Source organism: Homo sapiens, chromosome 22 (genome assembly GCF_000001405.40).
Source record: "Homo sapiens chromosome 22, GRCh38.p14 Primary Assembly".
In the NCBI taxonomy this organism is placed as follows: domain Eukaryota; kingdom Metazoa; phylum Chordata; class Mammalia; order Primates; family Hominidae; genus Homo; species Homo sapiens.
Window position 1 is genome coordinate 20,090,492 of NC_000022.11, and position 21,383 is coordinate 20,111,874.

The following is a 21,383-nucleotide window of genomic DNA, read 5'->3' on the forward strand; positions in this document are numbered from 1 at the left end:
GCTGGGGAGATGGCTGCTGGCACTGGCAGTGGGCCGTTTTCTCTCTGGTTGTTTGTATGATCTTTCCCTAAGTCTTGCTTTTTCAGTAGGATGTGCTCATGTGGCATTGTTTTGATTTGTCTTGATGAGCTCAGTGAGCCTCTTTAATCCATGACTCAGTGTTGGGAAACTGTCACCATTCTGTGGATAGTTCCCTCTTCAATCCTGCAATTGCTTGCTGGATGTGTACTGGTGTTTCCCATTCTCTCTTCCATGTCTTTTAGCCTAGTCCCGCCATTTAAGTCTTAGTTCTCTCTTCAGGTGTGGCAGGTCTCTGTGAACCCACCTGCTGGATTACTTTCAAAGAGCACTTTCCATTTTCTAGGTTTCTATTTGTCTGTACATCACTACCCAGCCTGTCTCATAACTCCGTGGAGTGTGGGGTGCCCTAGAAGAGCCTGTGATGGGGGCTGTTGCTGAGGATGGGGAAGTGGCCCGGGAGGAAATGTGACAAATGCGAGGCCCTGTGCAGGGAGCTGCCTGGGTGTGTTGCTGACTACAGAGGTGGCCAGGATGGCCAGAAGGAAAAGAGTGAGGTGGTCAGAGAGGTGGCGGGCGCATGGAGCCCGGGTGCTGCTGGCATTCGGGCACCTGTTTTGATACAGGGAGGAAGTCCCGAAGGCCATCTGACTTTTTTAAGCTGTCTTTTTTCCTTTTCATTTTTGTATTCTTCCTGCCCCAAATAAAGTAAAAGAACATCTCAGAAATTCATCCAGAAGGGACCTGCCAGAATAATCTGAGCTGGTGTAGGGAGGCCTTCATTCTTTGCTTCCCTCCCCTTTGAAAGGGACGGGGAAAGGAAATAGTGTCATGTGGCCTGGGCCTGCCCCATGCACTGGGCTGTGAGAACCTGACTCCTATGTTGGAAGTTAAGTAATTTGTTTCTCTGGTAAATCTGGGACAGATCTCGAGGAATTTCGAAGCTACCTGGAGAAGCGTTTTGACTTTGAGCAAGTTACTGTGAAAAAATTCAGGACTTGGGCTGAGCGGCGGCAATTCAATCGGGAAATGAAGCGGAAGCAGGCGGAGTCCGAGAGGCCCATCTTGCCAGCCAATCAGAAGCTCATTACTTTATCAGTGCAAGATGCACCCACAAAGAAAGGTATAAGCCTCTGCATTTTAACATCAGCAGACTGGTTATGCTGTTATTTCTAATGTGATGTGTTGAGGGCATGTTTTATGAGTTGCATTTCGTTCAAAGTTTATGTTTATCCCATGAATGCAGGGGTCTGCCACATTCACGGTCGTGAGCCCCTAGTTACTGACATGGTAACAGGAAGCTGTGTGCTAGCTTGTGGCACTGCTTCACACTTGCTGAGATGGTTCTTTTTGTCACAGAGTTTGTTATTAACCCCAACGGGAAATCCGAGGTCTGCATCCTGCACGAGTACATGCAGCGTGTCCTCAAGGTCCGCCCTGTCTATAATTTCTTTGAATGTGGTAAGTCTAACCTTCCCCATTTCAGTCCTAAAGAATCACAAGGTGTAACTTTGGTCAGGGCTGGGGAGGCAGGCGCTGACCGCTAGCCCTACTCTACTGGAACGGGAGGAAAGGGAAGGGTAGAGAGCAGCGTGCTGCAGATGGGTGGCTTGTTTCCTGGAGCCGCGCCCCATCTGAGTGGGTGGCTCTGCTTTTCCCTTCCAGTCTGTCCCCTCTCCCCACCTTCCTCTTGTCCTGCCCCATCTGCCTTGCTGGTTTCTGATCCTGCGTTGTCATGGACAGCCTTATTGCGAGCAAGGCCTCCCCACTGTGCACTGGGTCCTTTCCCTGGTCTCCTGGTGCCCCTGGGTGTCTGAAGGGTTCTTGGGCATGCATTTCCCACCAGCTCTGTCTTCCTTGGGTGCCCTCATCACACCTTTGTGAAGACCAGTCTGTCTTCCCCTTGGAAGCTGGAGCCTGGGGGTCACTCATCCTTTGAGGTGGTGTTTCTTTGGCAAGCCACATCTTGTGCTTTCCCATTCCGGCAGTCCTGTGTCCGTCTTTCGTAGACCTTGGTCCCTGTCGTAGGAGGCTCTGCCCCCAGCCTCCTGCTGCCCCTCTGGCTCACCATCTCCCACGTGCCTCATTTCCCTCCACTTTCCCAGCTGTGCCCTTTGCTGCTGCTTGTCTGCTGCCCGTCTCCAGTCCCAGGGAGCCCCAGGTCTCTGCAGTCAAGCACAGGCCCACTCTCTGCAGGGACAGCCCCTGACTGCGCCTTGTCTGTCGGTGTGGGCAGACTGTGCACACGCTTTTGATGTCTTGACTCGTATGTTTTAAAACAAGTAATTTTAATTTTAAGAGAACCCAAGTGAGCCTTTTGGTGCCTCGGTGACCATTGATGGTGTGACTTACGGATCTGGAACTGCAAGCAGCAAAAAACTTGCGAAGAATAAAGCTGGTAACGTGCTTGCTTGGGTGTCAAAGATACGTGCTGCCTGCTGTGTCTGCCTCGCTGCTTGGTTAGGGAGGGGCTGAGCAGTGGTGACAAGTGGGGGATGTGGGTGGGGCATGTTTATTTTATTTATGTAATCATCTACTTTGATTTTTAAAATTACATGCTCATTGGAAAAGACTCAAATAGAGCAAAATGTGAGACTTAAAAGTAGAAGGCCTCGGCCGGGCGTGGTGTCTCATGCCTGTAATCCCAGCACTTTGGGAGGCTGAAGTGGGCAGATCACGAGGTCAGGAGATCGAGACCATCCTGGCTAACACGGTGAAACCCTCTCTCTACTAAAAATACAAAAAATTAGCCGGGTGTGGTGGCGGGCACCTGTAGTCTCAGCTACTCGGGAGGCTGAGGCAGGAGAATGGCGTGAACAAGCGAGGCAGAGCTTGCAGTGAGCTGAGATCGTGCCACTGCACTCCAGCCTGGGCGACAGTGCAAGACTCTGTCTAAAAAAAAAAAAGTAGAAGGCCTCTCTACTGAGTGACAGCTGGGCCAGTATGTCCCTCCCTAGTCCTGGCCCTGCACATATTCAGGGGTGTGCCTAGAGCCAACTGGGCTGTGCTGGGCACATGCTGTAGTGCTTGTTTGTTTTTAAACTGAGCAGCATGTGGGCATGCCAGGAGGGAGGAGAAGCGGGCCAGCATGCTGTTGGCATCCTCCCCCAGTGGTGCTGGCTCTTACCGGCACTATTTCCTGAGTCCTCCCACTCCATGTTTGGGCCTAGCCACACAGAACACCTGGCACAGCGCAGCTCTGGGAAGGCTGTGTGTCCTGGCGAAGACCCACTGCCCTTTTGGACCATGCCCTTGCCGTTTGCATTCATGCCCTGCATTCGTGGTAGTTGACATTCTTTCACAAAAAGCCATTTGCCTCAGCGTCCAGGGTTAGTTGGCTTCTTGTAGGGTGGTGTTGGGTGTACCCCAGGCCCTCGCACCCACAGGTTGATTCTCGAGGTATCTGTCATTGCCGTGTGTTTTCCAGAAGGCCTGCTGCCCATCTTAGATTCTGCCTAAGAGACTTTTGCAGCTCAACAAAGGGGGTGTGGTGGAGGTTTTGACAGATAACTTGCAGTGGGGCCTTTTGTGGGGGTGGAGATGCCTTGGGCGTGGCTGTGTGCTCTTCCCTCTGCGGGATCACCCGCTTTCCTCCCTATGTGCTGGAACCCACTTCCCTTGCCCAGACTCTTGGCTGCCCTATAGACAGCTTGGCTCCATGTCTTGCCAGCACTGATAGCTCTGTGGGGTCTATGGAGCCATCAGCCCTTGGCTATGGCAACTCCGACCCCAGTGGGCATATCCGTGCCCTGCCCTCTAGCAGCTCCCTCTAGCGTCTCTCAGACCTGGCTGCATCTCTCCACCCACGCCAGCCACTGCTGCTGCCACCTGGTCTAGGTACCTGCAGTAGCCTGCTCTCAGGCCTCCCTGCATGGTCCAGGGCCCGCAAAGCTGTTTTCTCACGTGCCACCGAAGTGGTTCCCTAACATACAGCTCCGAGCTCCTCCCTGCCTGCTCCCAGGACCCCAGGGTGAGAGCGCACACACCCAGTGTGGCCCGTGAGGCTTTCTGGTAGCCTGCCACACGTCTGGGCTTTTCCTTCTGTCCTCTCCTGACCCTGTCACTGAAGTGCTGTCTCTCCTCAGGGCCCTCGCTCAGCCTCTGAGCTGTGGGGATGGGAGGCAGCAGTGCACAGTTCACTCTGCAGGGTGGTGAGAAGAGGGCAGTGCCCAAGCCTCACCCTCGGGCTCTTTTTTTTCATAGCCCGAGCTACACTGGAAATCCTCATCCCTGACTTTGTTAAACAGACCTCTGAAGAGAAGCCCAAAGACAGTGAAGAACTCGAGGTGAGTGTTGTGGTCCTGCCCTGCTGGGAGCTGTGTGTGCAGTGCGGCTACCCTGCCCTGTTAGTGTGAGCTGGGGGTGTCCGTGGGCTGTGCTCATGCCTTCCATGCCCTGTAGGTTAGTCTCATCCAGCCTCCAGGTTCTTCTGTTTGTATTTCATAAAGAGGAAACTTGCCTGTCTTTGTATAGGCAGGGAAAAAATGTCCTTTTTGTTAGAGATTTTTGTCCTCTTTTGCAGCATTGAGTGTGCACCGTAAATGTCGGGTACACATAGGTTTGTGATGGGAATGAATCTTTGAGGCAGTCTACAAGATTTAGATTGTTCTTTTTTTTGAGACAAAGTCTTGCTCTGTCACCCAGGCAGTGACAGAGTTTGATCTTGACCCACTGCAACTTTCACCTCCCGGATTCAAGTGATTCTCCCACCTCAGCTTCCTGAGTAGCTGGGATTACAGGTGTGTGCCACCATTTCTGGCTAATTTTTGTATTTTTAGTAGAGATGGGGTTTCACCATGTTGGCCAGGCTGGTCTCGAACTCCTGACCTCGGGTGATCCACTCGCTTCCGCCTCCTAAAGTGCTGGGATTACAGGCATTAGCCACTGCGCCCGGCCCTAGATTGTTCTTTATATACTTGACCCTTGAGTAACGTGGAAGTTAGGGGCACCAGCCTCTCACGTGGTCGAAAATTCACGCATCACTTTCAGTCCTCCCAAACCTTAACTACTTACTGGTAACCTACTCTTGACCAGAAGCCGTACCAGTAACAAACAATTGATTAATACATATTTTGTTATGTACATATTACTACATCTGTCCCCAACCTAGTTTTGGCACCAGAGATCAGTTTCAGGGAAGACAATTTTTCCACAGACGGTGTTGGGGGGCGGGGATGGTTTCAGGATGACTCAAGCACATCACATTTATTGTGCACTTTTTATTTCTATTATCACTACACTGTAATATGTAATGTAATCACTATACAACTCACCATAATATAAAACCAGTGGGAGCCCTGAGCTTGTTTTCTTGCAACTAGATGGTTCCCTCTGATGACGATGGGAGACAGTGACAGATCATCAGGCATTAGATTTGCATAAGGAGTACACAACCTAGATCCCTTGAATGCACTGTTCACAATAGGGTTCACACTCCTATGAGAATCTAATGCTACTGCTGATCTGACAGGAGACAGAGCTCAGGTGTAAAATGAGTGATGGGGAGCAGCTGTAAATACAGATTAAGCTTCACTTGCTCACTTACTCCCCCTGCCCCCACCACTCATGTCCTGCTATGCAGCCCGGTTCCTAACAGGCCATGGATTGGTACCAGTCCATGGCCTGGGGGTTGGGGACCCCTGATATATACTGTATTCTTACATTAAAGTAAGTTACAAAAAGAATGTTATTAAGAAAATCATAAGGAAGAGAAAATTTATTTACTGTTCTTGAAATGGAAACATCATCATGAAGGTCTTCATCCTCCACATCTTCATGTCGAATAGCTGAGGAGGAGGGGGAAGAAGAAGAGTTGGCCTTGGTATCTCAGGGGTGGCAGAGGCAGAAGAAAATTTTTGTATAAGTGGGCCCATGGAGTTCAAATCCATGTTGTTCAAGGGTCAGCCATGTGAAGAACCATTTAAAACTAGCTGTAAACCTTTTTGGGTAAATGGTTATTTGTAGCAAGGGCTTGTGGAATTTTGAAGGGTGCATTCTTATTTATATAATAGCTTTATTGAGATAGTTTACATACTATAAATTTGGCCTTTTAAACTATATAAGTGGATTTTTATATATTCAGAGTTGTATAACCATCATAACTACCTAATTTTAGAGTATCTCAACACCCCCAAAAGAAACTCCATACCCATTAGCATTCCCTCTTAGTTCTCTCCAACCACCAAAAGCCACTAATCTGCTTTCTGTCTCTATATATCTGCCAACTCTGGACATTTCATATTAGCGGAATCATACAATATGTGGTCTTTTGTGACTGGCTTCCTTCACTTAGTGTGCTATGTCAGCTGTAGGTTTTTATCAGAATAAGGAAATTTCCTTTTGTTCCTGGTTTGCTGAGAGTTTTTGTAGGAATGATGTTAGATTTTGTCAAATGTTTTTCTGCTTCTATTCAGATGATCATGTTTTTTTTTGTCTTTTATTTTAGTAATATAGTGTATTATATTGGTTTTTGAATGGTGAGCCAACCTTGCATTCCTGGGATATATCCCACTTGGTCATGACATATAATGATTTTTTTAATATGTTGCTGGATTCATTTTGCTGGTATTTTGTTAAGGATTTTTGCATTTGTAGTTATAAGCAATATTGATCTGTAGTTTTCTTGTGATATCTTTGTCCAGTGTAACAGCAGGTACAGGTATCAGGATAATACTGGCCTCATAAAATGGTTGGAACATGTTCCATTTTCTTCTGTTGTGTGGAATAGTTTGTGAAGGATTGGTGTTCATTTTTTAAATGTTTTGTAGACTGCGTTCAGTGAAACCTTCTGGTCCCAGGCTTTTCTTTGTCCAGAGCTACTTAATTGCTAATTCAATCTTACATGTTATAGGTCTATTGAGATTATCTATTTCTTCTTGAGCCAGTGTTGATAGTTTGTGTCTTTTTTGGAATTTTTTTCCCATTTGATGTAGATTATCTAATTGATTAGCATATATTTGTTCCTAGTATCCCCATATGACCCTTTTTTATTTCTATATGGTTGTGATGGTCCCTTGCTGTCATTCCTGATTTCAGTAATTTGAGGCTTTCTTCTTTTTCTTGATCAGTAAATTGTTACACTTGATGATACATCACAGGTCTCTGAGGCTCTGTTGTTTCTTCTCTGTACTTTTTTCTTTCTGTTCCTCAGTGTGGATTATTTCAATTGCCCTGTCTTCAAGTTTGCTCCTTTATCTTCTGTTGGCTCACATTCTGCTGGTAAACCCCTCTAGTGACTGTTTCATAATTTCTGTCTTTTTTAAAAAAATTCTTTATTGGGTAATGCATTGTTTTTATACTTTAATTCTTTTTTTTTTTTTTTTTAATTATATATATAGGGTCAGGCATGGTGGCTCACACCTGTAATCCCAGCACTTTGGGAGGCCAAGGCGGGCAGATCACAAGGTCAAGAGATCGAGACCATCCTGGCCAACATGGTGAAACCCCGTCTCTACTAAAAATACAAAAATTAGCTGGGTGTGGTGGTGGGCACCTGTAATTGCAGCTACCCGGGAGGCTGAGGCAGAAGAACCACTTGAACCCAGGAGGTGGAGGTTGCAGTGAGCTGATACTGCGCCACTGTGCTCCAGCCTGGTGACAGAGCGAGACTCCTGTCTCAAAAAAAAAAAAAGGAAAAAGAAAAAAAATATATATATATATGGGGTAGAGATGGGGTTTCACCATATTGCTCAGGCTGGTCTCGAACTCCTAGGCTCAAGCAATCTGCCCACCTCAGCCTCCCAAATTGTTGAGATGACAGACGTGCCACTGTGCTGGCATTATACTTCAGTTCTTTAGACATGGTTTCTTAGTCCTTTGAGTATGTTTTCTGTAGGTGATGTAAAATCTGTTTCTGGTAAGTCCAGTTCTCAGAGAGCGTGTATATTAAACTGCCTTTCCCTTCATGTATGGGCTGTCTCTACTTTCCTATTTCTTTGCATATCTCAGAATTTTTTGTTATTGTCAAGAATTGGACATTTAAAATATATGGCAACTCTGGAAATCACATTACCTCACCTCCCTTAAGTTTATAGTTTTTGTCATATGTCCTTGCTCTCTATTTGTGACTGTATCAGTTTGCTAGGGATACTGTAACAAAGTGTCACAGACTGGGAGGCTTAAATGACAGAGATGTATAGTCTCAAAGTTCTGGAAGCCAGAAGTCCAAAATGAAGGTGTCAGAAGGCTAAGAGAAGGCCTTTCTCCGTGGGTGGAGGATAGCGATCTCCATGTCCATGCCTTTCTCTCTGTGTGCATGCTGGTCTCCACATTGCCCATTTGATAGAGACACCTGTCTCACTGGATTAGGCCCTACCCTAATGACCTCATTGTAATGTGATGACCTCTGTAAAGACCTTGTCTCCAAATACTGTTGCATTCTGAGGGACTTCAACATGTAAATTTGGGGGTGACAGTTTACCTCATAATAGTGACTTTCCTAGATTGATTCTGTGAAGTGTGTATTCTTTATGATTTGTGGCCACTGAATACACGGGCCCTTTAGCTGAGTGGTCTCCTGATGCTTGGACAGGGATTTTCGTAAATTCCCTGAGCCAGTAAGTCTCCCGGCCTGTGATGAGAGCTGTGGGTCTGTGGGGCTCACCTGGTGTGCTCCGGTGGCTGCCAACTGTCTTAGCCTTTGTGTGCCACCTGCACAGAGTCTCCAGGTCAGTCAGCTGGGAGGTTTTCCTGGGCCTGTGCGCAGTCATCTCCAGACATACGCTAGAGCCTTTCAGAGCCCCATGGACATCTCCAGCTTTTCCTTCTTGGGTTCTTGGCCAGCCTCTTGTTTGCCCAACTAGTGCCCCAGCCTCTGGCAGCTGCAGGGTGAAACAGTTGCCACTGGTTCCTTTTGACAAAAGCCCTCAGGAACTGGGCTGTTTTCACTGAGTGAGATCAAATAAAGACAAATCCTGCCATGAGGCTTTTCCAGAGGGTGGCCAGGTAAACCCAACAGTGACAGTTCTCTGGGCCTGGGGCCTTGAGGACCCGTTCTCCATTGAGTGGCTACCACTGAGCTGGGGAGAAGGGCTGGGAATGGGGCGAGTTAAGATGCCAGCAACTCCTTGTTCTTAGCAAGACTCGTTGTCTTTCTTGAATCAACACTCCTCAGATTGTTGAAAGCCTTTCTTTAGTTTCCAGGGTTCTGAAAGAATTAATTCTGACCATTTTTGCTAGTGTTCTTGTTGCTTTAATGGAGGAGAGCAGATTTTGGAGGTCCTTATTCGGCCATTCCAGAACTACTTTAGGATGGGTTTTGTAAAGTTTTCTCATCTTTGTGGACTGGTGCTGTTATAAAATATGGTTAAGTGTCTATGGTAGTACTAACTTGCTCTTAAGTTTCTTGAACTCCTGGCTTCAAGCAGTCCTCCTGCCTCAGCCTCCCAGGATGATGGGATTACAGGCGTGAGCCACCACACCTAGTCTCTTGCTCTCAAGTTTCTACATGTTTTCTGTGCTTTATGTAACTGCTTCATCGTGGACAGGCTACAGACAGATTGCAGACCACATGTGGATCAAGCACAGTCTCCAAGTACTAGCTGTTCCAGGAAGAGTCACATTTGTCCCTTTTTTTTTGAGATGGAGTCTCGCTCTGTTGCCAGGCTGGAGTGCAGTGGTTCGATCTCTGCTTACTGCAACCTCCGCCTCCTGGGTTCAAGCGATTCTTCTGCCTCAGCCTCCTGAGTAGTTGGGACTACAGGTGCACGCCACCACGCCCGGCTAATTTTTGTATTTTTAGTAGAGATGGGGTTTCACCGTGTTGGCCAGGATGGTCTCTATCTCTTGACCTCGTGATCCGTCCGTCTTGGCCTCCCAAAGTGCTGGGATTATAGGCGTGAGCCACTGCACCTGGCCACATTTGATTTTATTTCTGAGTGACCCAACCGTGGGAAATATGGCTCCCAGGGAGGCTTCCAAGGCCCTCTGGGGAAGTGCTTGCGTAGACCCTGGCCCACCAAAACTCTTAGTATGGGTTGCTGCAGACGATGGTGCCTGAGTTGTGTAGGTCTCACGCTGCCTTCCTGTCTGAGTAAAAGCCCTGCCTGTTCTTTGCTATGGGGTGGTGGAAATGTCCATGAACCACTGTGGTTTCTGGTGCCAGGAGAGGGCCCAGCGGGGAGTCAGGTTCTCAGCCTCCACTCTGGGGTTCTTCTGTGAAGTGGAGAGGCTTTGCAGAAACCACATTGCAAAGTAGTCTGAGAAAGAAGAGGTTTCCCCAGGTGGAGAAGGACATGGGGGTGGGGCATGTGGTGGCTTCCGCTGTAGACTCCCCTGCCTGGGGCTTTTTCCACACCCCTACTCCGATCCTCCCACACTGCAGCCTGTCTGGAGCTAGCGTCATATCTCCCCAGGTAAGGAGCTCAGTTTCGTGGGACTGCCCCCACTTCCTGTGCCAGCCGCAAATGGGGGCCCCTGCCACCCGGCACAGGACCCCTCCTCGTGCTTGGAAATTTGCTAGGACTCAGGAACTCAGGAAAAATTTTACTTATGAAACTTATTTTTCATGAAGGGCTGAAAGTTCCTCCCCTCTACTGACACATTTGATTTCTCCGGGGAGCCCACCCTGGCCACCTCCTCAGCATAAGCTCTGTGGTGGGGTCGTTTTGAATCACAAAAGACAAACCTAGCACTCAGGAAATCCTCAGGGTTTTAAGAACTCTGTTCTGGGAACCTGAGAGAAGACCGTGTGTTTTTATGATGCCATGCCTTGGTTTAGGGTGCCTTTTGTATGTGCCCCTCCTGAGAAGCTCTTTGACCCTCTTATTTGTATATATGTCATCTGTGGGCTGGGCGCGGTGGCTCACGCCTGTAATCCCAGCACTTTGGGAGGCCGAGGCGGGCAGATTACGAGGTAAGGACATCGAGACCATCCTGGCTAACACGGTGAAACCCCGTCTCTACTAAAAACATACAAAAAATTAGCCGGGCATGGTGGTGGGCGCCTGCAGTCCCAGCTACTCGGGAGGCTGAGGCAGGAGAATGGCGTGAACCCAGGAGGCGGAGCTTGCAGCGAGCTGAGATTGCGCCACTGCACTCCAGCCTGGGCGACGGAGCGAGAATATGTCTCAAAAAAAAAAAAATGTATATATGTCATCTGTGATGTCCCCATTTAAAAATCTGTCAGAGGGGAAAGTAGCTTTTCCCTCCGTTGTAGGGTGGTGGGGGTGTTTAGACAGGGGTGGCCATCTCCTGTTCCTGGGAAGTTTCTATTTGCTGGTCCTCCCTAGCGAGGCTCTCAGGTTGTGTCCCCGCCCCCTGCTCCTCCCAGCTGCCTGTGCAGAGGTGCCAACACCTGTCCTTGGACTGTCCCCTGGACAGCCTGGGGCGTGGGGTAGTATCCCCTCCTTGTGTGGACTCCGGAGGTGGGGTTGACATGTCAGGAGGGGCGGGTTGATGCCTGTGAGGTGTGGTGGCCACGCGTGTATGCTACTTGATTAAAAAGGGAAAAAAGGAACAACTGGCATCATTTCCTTTTCACAAAGCTTGTGGTGATCTCTTGGTATTTTGTTGCTAGCTGTGGGTTGGTGGTTCATGGCTATTAAATTTAGGTATTAGTGACCAAGTGTTTTCTTTTTTTTTTTTCATCTTATTTTAAAATTTACATAGAGTTAAATTCACTTTTTGGTACAGTACTGTGAGTTTTGACAAATACACAGTCATGTAACCAACACTGCAATCAAGATGCAGAACATTTCTGTACATTCCAACATTCTTCTTTGTTGGTCAAACTCTCCCACCTGTATCCTCTGGTGGGCACTGAACTGCCCCTGTAGTTTTGCCAGATCCTGAATGTCCTCTTAGTGGAGTCACCTGGTACGTAGCCTTTGAACCTGGCCTCTGGCTTGGTGTGGTGTGACGCATCCGTCGTGTGGTCATTTGTACTCCTGAGTGCTGGCCACCAGGTGGCTGTGCCCCTCAGTGCGTCTCTCCATTCTTCCTTGAGGGACACTGACAGGTTTCTGGGTTTTGGTGATGGGCAGTAAGGCTGCTGTAAGGTCGTCCAGGTCTGTGTGTGATGGGCGGATTCGTTTCCTTCAGGTAAACCCTTGGGATGGGGTTGCTGGGCTGTGTGGCAGGTGCACGCTTATGTTAGCATTGCCCTCACACCTTTCTCAGTCACTAGGTGACCGTGGAAGTGTGTCTGTTTTGGGGCTGTCTACTGTCTTTCGAGCTGTGTGTCCTTTTCCTGATGCCACACTTTCCTGATGACTTGAAGTCTTGATACTGGGAGTCCTCCAACTTCGTTATTCTTTCTCAAAAAATTGTTTTGGCTATTCTAGCTCCTTTGCTGTTCCATGTAGACTTTAGAAACAATATGTCAGTTTCTATAAAAAATTCTGGGCTGGGTGCAGTGGCTCACGCCTGTAATCCCAGCACTTTGGGAGGCCGAGGTGGGTGGATTACCTGAGGTTAGGAGTTCGAGACCTGCCTGGCCAACATGGTGAAACCCCATCTCTACTTAAATACAAAAATTAGGTGGGCGTGGTGGCGGGCACATGTAATCCCAGCTACTCAGGAGGCTGAGGCAGGAGAATCGCTTGAACCCAGGAGGCGGAAGGTGAGGTGGCAGTGAGCCGAGATTGTGCCATTGCACTCCAGCCTGGGCAACAAGAGCGAAACCCCATCTTAAAAAAAAAAAAAAAATCTGCCTGCATTTTGATTGGAATTGATCCTGTAGATCAATCTGGGGAGAATGGACATCCTAACAATATTGGATTTTCCAAATCATAAACATAGTTCATCTGTTCATTTATTTAGGTCTTCTTTGATATCTTTCATGGGTGGTCGGCAGTTTTCATCACACAGGCCCTGTGTATATTCTACTAGATTTATAGTTAAATATTTTATGTATGGCACTGTGATGAATAGTACCTTAGTTCCAATTGATTGTTTATTGCTAGCTTACAGAGCTAGAATTTGTTTTATTTGCACTGATTTATTCTAGTAGTTTTTCTGTAGATTCCTTATCCAGTTTTCTTCTCTAATTTGTTAATGTAGTTAATTACGTTGTTTTTTTAAAAATGTGTTCCTGGGATAAGTCCTACTTGGGCATGGTATATGTTCCTTTTCATGTGTTAATGGCTTTAATTTGCTAGTTCCCTGCTGCATCTGTGTTCTTGGTGTTAAGGTCATGGTACGGGTAGTGTCATCAAGCGAAGTGGGAAGTAGCCCTCCTCCTGAGTTTTTCAGAAGGGCAGGACAGATATAGGATTGGTATCATTTCTTCCTTAAAATTTGGGCCTGGAGTTTTCCTAATGGGAAAGTTTTAAACTACTACTGTATGAACTACTAACTATAACTATGACTACTCTGAACTACTGTTGAGTTTCTTGAACAGGTGTAGGGCTGTTGAGGCTACTGAGATAGTTTGTGTCTTGCCAGGCATTGGTCCATCTCATATAGATAGTGGAATGTAGAGGTGTCGGGCGTCTGTGGTGCTCCCACACGGTCCTTTGGCATCTGCCAGGCACTGATTGCTTAGGTTTCTCCTGTGCTGTTTGTCAGAAGCAACAGGGATTTGTCTGCAGGTCACTTCTGCCATCTGTCTGCTCTCATGAGCTGGAGCCTCCACCTGTCCCTGGCGGGTTAACCCTCAGTAGCACATGTGGCCTCAGGCAGCTTGGTGCAGGGCATCCTGGTGTCGGTCTTTTTTTTTTTTTTTTTTGAGACGGAGTCTCGCTCTGTCGCCCAGGCCGGACTGCGGACTGCAGTGGCGCAATCTTGGCTCACTGCAAGCTCTGCTTCCCGGGTTCACGCCATTCTCCTGCCTCAGCCTCCCGAGTAGCTGGGACTACAGGCGCCTGCCACCGCGCCCGGCTAATTTTTTTTTGTATTTTTAGTAGAGACGGGGTTTCACCTTGTTAGCCAGGATGGTCTCGATCTCCTGACCTCGTGATCCACCCGCCTCGGCCTCCCAAAGTGCTGGGATTACAGGCGTGAGCCACCGCGCCCGGCTGGCGTCGGTCTTTTGCCAGAAACTTCTGAGCGTGCTCTCTAGCTGTGTGTGTGTCAGCCACTGCCTCAGCTTCTCCAGGGCCAGTCCCGAAGCCGTGGGGTATGTGGGTTCTTGTGGGCCGACAGCACTGGACGTTGCTAATTGGTTGGCTGGTTGACAAACCCTTGAGGTTCCAGGGCCTGATGTCTTGGTGAGTGACCTTCCCTGGAAAAAGACCCATGTTGATTTGTGCACTTGAGAGGAGCAGTGTCTTCTGGGGACCTATTTGAAGACAGTAGCCAAGCCATACCTCGAGGATTTTTCGCTTGCCAACCTCAGGGCTAGTGCCTTCCTCTTCTATGCAGTTGCAGCGAGTTGGCCTTGCTGCTTGCTGGAGCGGCGAGGGCAGAGGAGCTGCCCACTGCCCTGTCTGTAGGGCCAGTGTCCCTGTGGAGCGGGCTTGGCACACTGTGGAGCCTGCACAGCGAGGCGTGTGAATCATTTGATTCTAGGTTTCCTCGCTGCCCATGGGCCAGGCAGGCTCCAGGTCCCTGCAGACCCCTCCAGAACAGGGCCAGTGGGGGAAGCACTGTGAGGGTGTGGCTGATGGGTAATCTCCAGTGCTTCAAAGTGTGGTCTTTTTTGGAAAGAGGATGATTGCAGATAGAATTAGGTTAACATGAGATCACACTGAAGCAGAGCAGTGGTGTGATCCAGTGTGTCTGGTGTTTCTCTAAGAAGAGGGAGGAGGGGCAGGGCTAGTAGTCCATATGAAAATCGGAGCAATGCTGCCATAGCCAAGGGATGCCGGGGCCACCAGGAGCTGGCAGAGGCTCCCTAGAGGCTTCTGAAAGAGGATGGCCCTGCTGAGGCCTTGATTTCAGACTTCAGAATGGTGAGAGAATAAACCTCTTGTTCTAAGCCACTGACTTTGTGGTATGTTGTCACAGGAGCTCCACCAGGGAGGTTGTCCATGCTCCAGAGTGGGCTGGATAGCATCTTCCTTTCACCCAGGAGGCACTCTCAGCTTCAGCCAAAGTCCTAGTCTGGGAAGGCACAGTGGGCAATGTCTCTGCACCTCAGCCTGCTGCAGCTTCCCTATGCCTCACTGTGTGGAATCTCCCCATCACCTCTTGTTTCCCTGTCTGCCTCTCTTGTCCTTCCTGTGTGTTCTTGGGTTGGCTGCAGAGCCAGGGTGATGACACTGTTGGAAGCCTTGCTGGGCTGGGCCTCTGCTGGCCACCTGGGGCTGGGCTCTGTGTAGCTGTGTGGGGCTTTGGCCTTTGGGGAGCTGGGCCTTTTAAGGCCAGCTTTTGGGTCTGGCTGACTTTCCCTCTCCTGTAGTCTCAGTTGTGGCAATAGTAAAGCCTCTCTGCAAAGGTGCTTTATCTTTATAGAGTTCTGAGAAGGGTGCCTTATGGATCAGAATCAGATCCAAATAAGGTGGGCCTGGCCAGCCAGCCATGTACCTGGGGCCCTCTTAGGATACCAGACTCCATCCCACAGTGCTCAGGGTGGAAGGGTGCTGTGGGCTCTGGAGATGGGCAACTGGACGGTGAGGTACGGAGCATGTCTTGTACCCGGTGGGTTCCTTGCAGAGTTGAGGTATGAAGTGCTAGGCGAGCTCACAAGAACAGACATTAAGCATCTGGGGAAAGCCAACCGCAGGCCCAGCCATGAAGAGGCCGGTGGGCCTGGTGGGGACTCACAAGCCTCTGCTTTGTGTTGTAGTATTTTAACCACATCAGCATCGAGGACTCGCGGGTCTACGAGCTGACCAGCAAGGCTGGGCTGTTGTCTCCATATCAGATCCTCCACGAGTGCCTTAAAAGGTAGGGTAGGGGGGTGCCTCCCCCCATGAGTCAGGTCGGGGGAGCTCCTCTCTGGCGTCTCATATTCTTGTGGCTGTTTGTCCCAAGGCAGAGGCATGGCCAGGTTTCCCTGGGTACACAGCAGCCCCTTGGCCCTGGCCACCAGTCAGTCCCACAGGCCTGAATCGGGCGTGTGGAGAATTCCCTCCTCTGGCTGAGATGCAGTCTGGGGAGAGGCTTGGTCATTTCCTAAGGGCTTCCCAGAGCAGGCCTCCTCAGAGGCAGCTGGCTGCTCTGCTCAGGGGACGCCATCTGTTGTCTGTTTTCTCTTAAAGAAACCATGGGATGGGTGACACGTCTATCAAGTTTGAAGTGGTTCCTGGGAAAAACCAGAAGAGTGAATACGTCATGGCGTGTGGCAAGCACACAGTGCGCGGGTGGTGTAAGGACTCCTTCTCTGCTGCCTGGTGGCCGCTGGGCGGGCGGCCCCTGGTGTGGCCCTGCGCCTCTGTGGCTTGGTCTCAGCTGTTGCCCTGGCATTGTCCCTGAGCCCAGCTGTGTGTGCTGGCCACCACACGTTCAGCCTAAGGCGGACTGGCAGCCGTCCTGCCTGCACTTTCCCTGTCTTTTCCCTTTCCCCCGCTGTCACCCCTGTCTCCGTCCAGCCCTTGTCCCTGTGGCAGGAGGAAAGGCCCTCCTCCTCGAACAGCCAGCAGAATCCTGCTGCTCCCTGTTTCTGGAGGTGTGCGTCTTGGCGGGAGGGAGGCTCTCGGCTGCGTGGCTTTGAGTGGTAGTGTCCTCAGCTCCTAGACTCTGAGGGCCACTCTCTCAAGGTGGCAGCTGGGTACTGTGAGACTCAGGTGCCCAGAGCAGTGGCAGAGTGCTGCCTATTCCTGTAGAATGTGCCCTGGCTGGCCCTCGGGGTGTGGGTCAGGAGGGCTGGGAGCGGCAGGGGGCCCCATGAGCACTGGGTGTTTGTGACCCCCTCTCCATGCTTGCTCTTTCTCTGTGTAGGTAAGAACAAGAGAGTTGGAAAGCAGTTAGCCTCACAGAAGATCCTTCAGCTGCTGCACCCACATGTCAAGAACTGGGGGTCTTTACTGCGCATGTATGGCCGTGAGAGCAGCAAGATGGTCAAGCAGGTAACTGGCCATCAGCAGGTCCCAGGGCAGCCTGTGCTGCCACCCTGGAGCGTATTCCTGAGGCTCTGTGCTCAGAGGGGGCAGAGCTGGGCAGCTCTGCTGTTGCTCACAGCTGCCTCTCTCCTGGGCCACTTGTGTGGCTTTGTGGGCAGGGGTGGGGTCGTCCCAGCTACATCTCCTATCCCAGCCTGCTGGGCATGGTCAGTGAAGTGTGGGTGATTGGGAACGCAGGCTGGGCCCAGCTATGTGGCTTGTAGGGAGATGGCCAAAGTGCAAGGCAGGGCCAGGCAGGAGATGCTGAAGGTGCGCCCGGCTCGGAGGTGTGCAAAGGCTCAGGAGCCAGGGCCAGCTCTCCCTGCTTGAAGGAGAGCGAGTGTGTCAGGGTAGCTCTCCCTGGTACCAGTGCCGGTCCATCTCTAACAGAAGAGCATATGTGTACCATCTGTCTTGTTTCTGCTGTTGTGGCCAACATCCTGCAGTGTAAGCCAGTGCCCACTCCTGAGGGGTGGAGGGTAACATGGGGAGGTGAGTGTAATCATTTTCCTCAAATGATTACAGAAACTCTCTGGGTTCTTGCCCTCCTGGTCATTGGAAGGGGAAGTAGTTGTGGAGGGGTTAGGCCTGCAGGTGGGGCAGCCCTAGGACTGTGTGGTGGGTGGGCCCTCTGCCCAAGCCAGCTGCCAAGAGCAGGGCCTGCCTTTAGGTCCCTGAGACCGAGGCCTCGGCACTGTCCCCGAAGAGGCCTTTACTCTGGACATGATAAGGGAGGGTGAGGGGGCTCACACGGGCCACCAGGGCATGTTAAGGAACTTGAGAGAGATTTTTGGGAAGCAAGTTGAAATGTAGGTAGCACTTGCTTCTGCCCTTGCTGTGCATGGTCCTTGGCTGTGACGGAGGGAGAGAAGGCAAGCCCCACTCTGGCCCGGGGGTGGGAAACTTCCCTGAGCAGGAGGGGGAAAGGTCCCAGCCAGGCACAGCCACAGCTTGGGGGAGCTCTGGCATCCCGAGGAACCACAGCACCCTTGGGGCTGGCCTAAGACGGGAAGGGGCTGAGGCCAGCCTGATGCTGCTCTGCATTCATGGAGTGTGCAGAGAGCTCAGTGCCTGAGGCTGATGGGCTGGGCTGCAGCGTGCTGTTCTTACTGGCTATGGCCACACTCTGGTTTCACTCCTTGATGAGGACTCTGGGCACCACGAGCACCTCACCTCCCTACTCTGCCCATGGCAGGAGGCCATATAAGTGGCGTGGTGTGGGCAGAAAGGCCTGGCAGCTATGGACTGCCCCTCGCTCTCTGCTGCTGTCAGTGGGCCTGGCATCACTGAGGCGGGCCAGTCAGCATGCAGTTATGTTGCCACAGCTCCTGGCTGTTTCGTGTCTGCCAGACCCTGGGCGCGCCTGCCTTCAGGGTCCCAGGCACACAGCTGCTGGGCAGCGGGCAGGCCGTAGAGCTACAGCCTGCAGTCCTGAGCGTGAGGTGCTATACTTCCCAGGAGACATCGGACAAGAGTGTGATTGAGCTGCAGCAGTATGCCAAGAAGAACAAGCCCAACCTGCACATCCTCAGCAAGCTCCAAGAGGAGATGAAGAGGCTAGCTGAGGAAAGGGTGAGTGCCACCCTAGCGGGAGGGCTGCCGGGCCACGGCCATTCCTGTGGCACCTGTGGAGGGACAGCAGACCCCAGGACCCGTGCCTGAGCTGACACCTTGGAAATGCTTGGATCCTCCTTCCAAAATCAGATACAGGCTTTTCTTTGAGCTTCGACATGTGTGATAGTTTTATAAATCACTTCAGTTTTGGTTCTGTTGTTAGAGAGCTGGCAGGCCAGCCTGTTGGTGGACCATGAAGGTCACAGTCTTGGTGGGCCACCTGAGTCCCATGTCCTCCCTGGGTGTTTGGAGGTAGGTCAGTGCACCTGCCAGGGTTGAATCTGTAGGGCTTGGTCCTGATGAAGCCTCCTAAAGCCACCTTGGGAACCCCACTCAAAGAGGGGCCTGTCAGGCTGGCAGTGGTGTCTTCTGTCTTCAGGCATCGTCTGCCTGGCCACGGCGTGACCTGCCCACCTGGGCCTTCTGGGTGGGAGCTTTCTTAAGTGTGGCAGTCCCCTGGCCTGGGTGAGAGCCCCAGGAGGTATCTGCTGCCGCCCAGGCCAGCAGGTCCCTTGCTGCTCCCTGGGGTGGGGCTTGGCCTCCTGGAGCCAGTGGGACTGCCTGGTTTGCCCCTGGTCGGAAGAGGGGCTGTGGGGCTCAAGGGCAGCAGGTGCAGGACATAGTGCTCCTGGCTGGGCCTGGGGCAAGCAAAAGCTGGGCAAGGGAGGAACACCCAATGGGGAGGCCTGGCCTGTCCCTGTAACTGCACCCAAAATTCTTCACTTCTTGGTACATGTCCTGATTGCCAGGGAGGCTGCACATGTTGTACTCTGATGGCAATGCAGGGGGCCTCTGCAATCTCAGGCTGGCCTGCCCCAGGCCTTCCCTGCTCCTCCTAGCCTGGCATCACAAGCACTGGTGCCGTTGGGGCTCCAGGGCCTCCTGGCATGATCTGCTGGGCTCTCCCTCCACCTTGTGTCTTCCCGAGCCTCTGCCAAGCCCACCTCACTGGTACCCCTGACCTTTGTTGTTCTTTCAGGAGGAGACTCGAAAGAAGCCCAAGATGTCCATTGTGGCGTCCGCCCAGCCTGGCGGTGAGCCCCTGTGCACCGTGGACGTGTGAGGGAGGTGGCACGGGCCAGGGCGCGGGGGCCGCCAGCCGCACTTCTGAGGAGACCAGCAGTCATGCATCGTGCACCACAGTGTCAGGCCTCCAACCCACGCTCCTTCCCTGTGGCCAACCTGTGGGCCCGGCCTTAGGGTGGAGGCTTTAGTGTACAGGGACAGCCATGGCCACACAGCACACATGTGGAGCAGCGGCTCTCCCTGGAAAGCTCCAGGCCTGAATGGATGGACTCAGCGACTGCACCAGTGGCAGCTGGTGACTGTGGACAGTGGTGGACCCTGCTTCTGTGCACCTGCTGCAGGCTCTTTTTATGAAGGCTTTCATGAATTTTAGTATGTAATACGCACTGACGACACATGATGCTTGGATGACAGATGAGAGGGGATGGCTGAGTCCTGTGGCTGGCCCGTGATGCCAGGTGGCCCATGTGCCCAGGGCGCCTGCAGGGCTGCTACAGGGACCTGGTCAGGAGGTGCACATGGTGCCCTGCCCTCACCCACCCTCTGTGTTTCCCCTTCTTTGAAAAGGTAGAAGAGAAAGGAATATTTTAAACCTTTTTGGCTTAAACAGAATTTTAGCATCAGAACTAGCTTTCTGGGATTGGAGGCAAACCATCAAGGTGGTCCCTCTCCAGTCTGGACACGATGCCAGCAAGGATGACGTCCTGCCACCTCCTGGAGTTACCCTGGCCTCCTAGGGTCCCTTTTTCTGATGAAGTCTTAATTCCCTAAAAGCGCCTCTTTGGACACTGAGGCCCTCTCTGCCTTTCCTGGCCTCCGGCAACAGTTTTTTACAAAGATTTTTTGCAGTCGAGTCCATATGTCCACCCATTGATTTTTAAAGCTTTTGTGATATTTTAGCATTTTGAAAGACTTTCACAGTGAGAGTAGAAGGTAGATTTGGAATCATGCATTTTAGCAAGTGGACTTGTTGAAACAGGAAGCAAGGGCCTTCAGTGTAGCCCATTCTTGATCCAGAGCTGTTGCCTGTGACAGCGGTTTCTCTGGATGTCAAAGGCAGCTGCCTGGTGCCCAGCTTGCTTCTCGACTGGTGGCCCCTATGGGTGGGTGTGCGATGGAAATGTGTTCCTGCCGGAGTCTGAGGCACCAGGGTGTGCTCAAAGGCTGGCCCTGGTGGTGGACTGGCACCTGTGCAGAGTGCCGTGTGCTTGTGGTGCGCCATCTGAAGCAAGAGTCCAGCGTTCTGCCGTGTCTGTCCCCCACCATGCCCCCTACAGGCGGTACTGATGGCGCTTTTTTTTTTTTTTCTGTCAGGAAAACAATGTTGGCCTGTGGGCCGCCCACAACATATCCTTCCCTCACTACCTGTGTGACCAAGGTTGGCTTCTGTTGACCTTTAAAAAAGAAACCCTCAACTCAAATTGCTATAATTAGACACTTGCTTCTGTCTTGCCTCCTGTCTGCAGCTGTGAATAGTCATTTGACTGTGACTGTTGCCCTTAGCCAGCCAGATGCGCCTGTGAACCAAAGCTTCGTGCACATGTGTTCCCCTAAAGGTTGGGGAGCCTCGCTGTGTCTTGCTGTTCCCAGGCACCACCACAGCAGGTGCTGCCATACTCTTGTGGTCTCTGTGCGCCCCCCCCCCCCCCCCACCCGTCTGCCAAGCATGGGTATGAATCGTGCACACAGCCATGCTTCAAGGCCGGGGCAGGGGAGCCTGTGCTGATGCCATCCAGGGCACTGGGCTGTGCCTGGAAGGCGAGCCTTGATTGTCTGAACACATAAAGCAAACTGTCCAGAAGG

The 21,383-nt window shown here is 51.3% G+C and overlaps 1 protein-coding gene across 5 annotated transcripts in view; it reads left to right on the forward strand.

The window, feature by feature from the left end:
• DGCR8 (DGCR8 microprocessor complex subunit) overlaps positions 1-21,381 on the forward strand; it is a 31,632-nt gene extending 10,251 nt beyond the window's left edge. For 4 of the 5 annotated variants that reach the window (NM_022720.7, XM_047441419.1, XM_047441418.1 and 1 more), the window contains 9 exons: positions 944-1,141; positions 1,378-1,479; positions 2,318-2,416; positions 4,222-4,304; positions 15,686-15,786; positions 16,101-16,207; positions 16,780-16,907; positions 18,399-18,512; positions 19,534-21,381. In NM_022720.7, the coding sequence (NP_073557.3) occupies positions 944-1,141; positions 1,378-1,479; positions 2,318-2,416; positions 4,222-4,304; positions 15,686-15,786; positions 16,101-16,207; positions 16,780-16,907; positions 18,399-18,512; positions 19,534-19,617 (1,016 nt within the window). In that variant the 3' untranslated portion in view covers positions 19,618-21,381. The remainder of the gene's footprint in view (positions 1-943; positions 1,142-1,377; positions 1,480-2,317; positions 2,417-4,221; positions 4,305-15,685; positions 15,787-16,100; positions 16,208-16,779; positions 16,908-18,398; positions 18,513-19,533) is intronic. The other variant, NM_001190326.2, reaches the window with a different exon arrangement.